Raw genomic sequence first — 5,323 nt, 5'->3', positions numbered from 1 at the left:
TTGGAAAATGGGCTAGTAGCACCTACCTGGTAGGATTGCTTTGATGCTCTTTAAAGTGCCCAGGCCAGAGCCTACCAAGTATTAATAGGAGGTGCTCAGATTGTGGTACCTCTCTCTCCTGAGCCCCCAATCAAGTGCTCAGCCCAGCCTACCCGAGTGGTTTTGGCTTCCATCCTGAACCTACCCTGGCCCTATGGGAAACCCCATTTCCCTGTGATCTGAAGCTGAGCTCTAAGAGGCCACTACCCTGTTCCTGTTCAACCATATTGCATAAATGTCCTATGGCCTGATTCCCACAGGGTTCTGCCTGTGGCCAGGATCTGCCTCAGATGCTCCTTCCACTGTGGCTGGTTTTACTTTCCAGAGGTGAATGAGCCTGTAGAATGAACCACCTTAGGGCAGGCGGAGATGGCTGGCAGCTCCCCATGTGTGTACAGCCCAGTGCCTAGCATGAAGAGATGCTCAAGGAGGTCTCTCCCCAAAGTCTGCCCCACCCTCCTGTCCTAGGCGTATTATAAAAACATATACTATAACATCATTCTTTGGTTTCTCAATAAGCAATGCTACACAGCTCCTGTATAAAATATGTTTGGCGATAAAGGTAATAGTCACAGTGGACGCCCACTTGAGCTTCAGGCTTACTCCGTGCTAGACTTGGTGTTGAGTGCTTGAGACACACTGTCTCTCTCCTACTTCCCTATGAGGTAGAGATTGCACTGCATCTTTGAGGAGACTGACACTCAAAGAGGTTGAGTAACTTCTCCAAGCTGACCCAGCTACTAAGCAGCAGTGCTGGGATCTGAATCCAAGCCCATTGTCAGCCCTCTGCAGACTTGGCTGGGCAGTTCGTAGAAGAGTCTCACGTCCGTTGTTGCATTTGATGGCGTAGCAACCTCAGGGTTTTGCCAAGTGTGTGATTGTCATTATTATGATCCCATCCTACAGGAGAGGAAATGGAGATTCCCACATCACACAGTAAGTAAAGATGGGACAGGGACTTGCACTTCCGCACTGTGCTCAGGTCTCCACTGTAAGCACAGCCTCCCTCCTGGTTTAAAAGCATTCCCTTACTGCTTAACATCAGTGTTCCAACGGGATAGTTCATTCATCCATTTGGTAAATATTTATCAGGCACCTACTATATTTTAGGCCCTGTGTGGGAGATTAGTGCTGAACAAGCCAGAACCTGTTCCCTTCCTGAAGCTTTCCATCTCTGTGGGTGAGAAAAACTTGAAATAACTGCACACACAAAAATGATAAAAACTGTGATAAGTATTGTTCTTGAGGTGGGGTGGGTGGGTGATCAGAGAAGAACATTGAAGTGTGAATGCAGATCAGCCCTGGAAAGTGGGTTTGGAGGCTGGGAAGAGCAGTCTAGGCAGAGGCTCTGAGACAAGAGTGAGCCTGTGAATAAGGGTGGAGGCACTCAGAGGAAGAGCAGGAGGAAAGGGGCCAGAGCCTACATGGCCTGGGGGGCTCACCCTCACCCTAAGAGGAGGGCCTAAGGTTGGTTTTTATTTCAGGATAGTAGAGAGGAGAGTGGAGGGGGCTGAGTGGGTACAGGGACCTCAGTCAGGAAGCAACCTTAGTGGTCCAGGCACAGGGCTGAAGGGGGCTGGAGGGGAGGAAAAAGGAGATGGGGCTGAGTAGCTCTACCCACACCCCCCATCCAGGGCCTTTCTAGCCCTTTCCCAGGTGCTTGCTGCTGTGGTCAATGTTCAGGGTACCCTGACCCCCAGGCAGTGGCTGGTTATTGTTTCACGACCAGCTCTCTGGGTGAAAAAGTCCTCTTTTGTAGCATTTGCCAATTTCTGTGGTGTAAATACTCCCACCATGGCTGACTTCAGACTACCAACCTGAAGTCAATGGATAAGCAGTTGGGAAGAAAAGTTTACAACTGTCCAAGCTGCAGCAGATTGGCTCCAACACACTACTGCCCTCAGGTCTCAGAAAGGCAGTAGTTCTGATGAAGTGCCATTGGTATACGTCTCACCCTCTATGTAATTCCCGATTCCTGTGTGTATATTGGGGGTTGGGGGAGTAGAGAGGGTGAAGGCTGGATGAGGAGGGGTGTGGGGGAAGGGAGGTTGGTAAGGAATTAATAATAATGACCACTCCCTCTAGTCTTTCTGATGACTCCAAGAGATTGGTACTATTATTAATCCCACTTCATAGATGAAGAAACTAAGACACACATTGAATAACTTGTCCAAGGTCTCACAGCAATAAGGGACAAAACTGGGAACTCAAACCACCTCATTCCTGGGGTGAAGACTTTGCCCTCCTGAATCTCTGCCCTGTCCTGCCTGTGAGCTGGCTAAGAGGGAGGGAGATGGGGGAGAGTTAGGAGGGGACAATGAATGGAGGAAGAGCTAGCTAGGAAGAAGGAGGAAGCTGTCAGCAGCAGGAGGTTGGGGGGTGGGGTGTCATTTGAAATTATCTGGTTGGAATCCTAATGTGGGCGAGGTGGGAGGTTGGAGTGGCCTCTACAAGTCAGTCTGGGGTGAACCAGGATTTTTAAAAGGAGATTATGAGCTTCCACTGAGAATGTTCCCGGGAGAGGGTGCAGCAAGTTGGGGTGGGCAGGGGTCAGGCACCTGGAAGGCCCCACACACACACACCAGGTACTGCCACAGAGAGGGGGCACCAGGCCAGAGTCCACACAGCCTGCTGCCTCCAGATTTGTAAGGCAAGTGACTCTACAGCCCCGACAGCTCAGCAATGACATGGGAGCAGTCGGGTCAGCCCAAGCAGCCCTGGAACAGCTCCAGTCAAACAGGGATTGCTGGCCCCTCTCCCACCCCCCACCTTCCCTGCTGTGCCCACCCCACACCCAAGGTCAATGACCTAGTGTTTGGCAACATCCTCCAGGGCCCAGTGCAGATTGGGCAAGGTAGGTGGGAGTGGGTGGACGTGGGGATGGGGCTTGGCCAGGGAGCCAGGATAGCCAGTGAGTCCTCCCCTCAACCAAGTGATCTGCAAGAGTTGGGCTCAGCTCTCCCACCACCTGAGTTCTCTGCTCTGCAAAGGCTGGTGGCTCACTGGCAGCTCCTCGCAGAGCACCAGGCTGCAGCTTATACACTCCCACATCCACAGCCTGCTCCTCCATGCACTATCATTCCCTCTCAGCTCCCCTCTCTCCTTCCTCCCTGCTTGGCTCAGAATTGCCATTGTGCTTTTGACATTTCCTTTTCAAAGTTCTTTCCGGCCCTGGGAAGAAAGTCCTGCTTGTGTTCTAAAGACCTAGTGTCCTCTCTTTGGCCCTCAGTTTCCCCATCCTGCACAATGGAGAGAAGTTCTCACGAGACTCTGTGAACCCATTAAGCAGTCAGCATATTGTGTATGTCTGGGGTCAGGGGAGCATCATCCTTCAAACCTACCTGCTTGGTGCTAAGCACACAGTAGGTGCTTTATGGATTGGTTGGTGAGTCTGCCTTGCCTGGAAGTTGGGGATGAGGAATCTTCTAAGGGGCAATGGGCTTGCACCCAGTGGTCATCCTAGGGATGGTATGGGAGTGGCCATGCTGTCTTTGTCCTTTCAAGGAGCCCCTGGCTATTCTGCTTAATTGCTATTATACTCATCATCCCATTTTACAAATGAAAGACCAACCCGGAAGAGGTTACATTGCTTCCCCGAAGTCCCTCAGCTAGTATGTGGCAGAGCCAAGATTTGAACTCAGGCAGCCTGGCTCCAGGGCCCACAAACTTAACCGGTGGACGACATGCCCTTCCTTGTAGTTGAAGTCAATGATTTCCAAAGTGGGAAGAGCTTATATACATATAATACATATATATAAGTTTATAATATATATGTTATATATTATATATATATACTTGATATATAATATATATTATATAATATATTATATATAATATATACTTTATATATAATATATATTATATATTATATAATATATATAATATATACTTTATATATAATATATATTATATAATATATAATAATACATATATAAGTTTATATATAATACATATACATATATAATACATATATAAGTTTATATATAATACATATGCATATATAATACATATATAAGTTTATATATGTATTATATATTATATACATATATAATATATATAAGTTTATATATGTATTATATATTATATAAATATATATATTTATATAATACAGATATAAGTTTATATATAATGCATATGTACAAGTTTATATATATAATACATATGTATAAGTTTATATATATATAATACATATGTATAAGTTTATATATATATATATATTTGAGACAGAGTCTCGCTCTGTCACTTAGGTTGGAGTGCAGTGTCATGATCATGACTCAGCAGTCTTGACCTCTTGGGCTCAAATGATCCTCTTGCTTCAGCATCCTGAGTAGCTGGGACTGCAGGCATGGGCCACCATGTCTGGCTAATTTTCTTATTTTTTGTAGAGACAGGGTCTCACTGTGTTGCCCAACCTAGATTCCAACTCCTGGGGCTAAGCAATCTTTCTGCCTTGGCCTCCCAAAGTACTGGGATTACAGGTGTCAGCCACCAAGCCCAGCAAGTTATATTTATCTTATCCTTTAATATTTCTTTCTTCATAAATATATATTTTTATATGTAGTACAAGTATATAATTTTAAAAATAACTTTATGAGTATAACTTGTATACCATAAAATCCACCCATTTTGAGTGCACAATTCAATGATTTGTAGTACAACCATCATCATAATCCAGCAATTTTAGAACACTTCCATCACTCCAAAAGCAATCCCTTCTGACCCTTTGCAGTCATTCCTGGTTCTCACCCTGACCCCCAGGCCACCATCATGAATCTACTTTTCTGTCTCTGTAGATTTGCCTCTCCTGAAAATTTCATATAAATGGAATCATACAATATGTGGTCTTTTATGTCTGGTGTCCTTGAAGTTAACATAATGTTTTTCAGGTTCATCCATGTTGTAATATTTATCAGTGTTTGGTTTTTCTTTATGGCTGAATAGTATTCTGTTGTGTAATACACCACATTTTCTCAAAGCATTCACCAGTTGGTGGTCACTTAGGTGGTTTCCACTTTTTGGCTGTTATGATTAATGCTCCCATGGATATTCATGGTTTTTGTGTGGACATACAATTTCACTTCTCTTGGGTATATACCTAGGAGTGGAATTGCTGCGTCACGTGATACATTTATGTTTAACTTTTAAGAAACTACCCAAATATCTCCTGGGCTCGGTGACTCACGCTTGTAATCCCAGCACTTTGGGAGGCCAAGGCACGTGGATCACTTGAGGTCAGGAGTTCAAGACCAGCCTGACCAACATGATGAAACCCTTTCTCTACTAA

The 5,323-nt window shown here is 45.1% G+C and overlaps 1 annotated feature.

Annotated features, from left to right (window-relative positions):
• Window positions 2,272-2,771: an enhancer, noted in NCBI's record as "H3K4me1 hESC enhancer chr6:43932755-43933254 (GRCh37/hg19 assembly coordinates)". NCBI's record gives its function as "activates a minimal SCP1, AML or CMV promoter by ChIP-STARR-seq in naive H9 embryonic stem cells {active_cell/tissue: H9 hESC(naive)}" and the evidence as "EXISTENCE:reporter gene assay evidence [ECO:0000049][PMID:30033119]".

This window comes from Homo sapiens, chromosome 6 (genome assembly GCF_000001405.40).
Source record: "Homo sapiens chromosome 6, GRCh38.p14 Primary Assembly".
NCBI lineage: Eukaryota > Metazoa > Chordata > Mammalia > Primates > Hominidae > Homo > Homo sapiens.
Note: the sequence above shows the minus strand (reverse complement) of the source record. Positions and strands in the feature narration are given on the sequence as shown.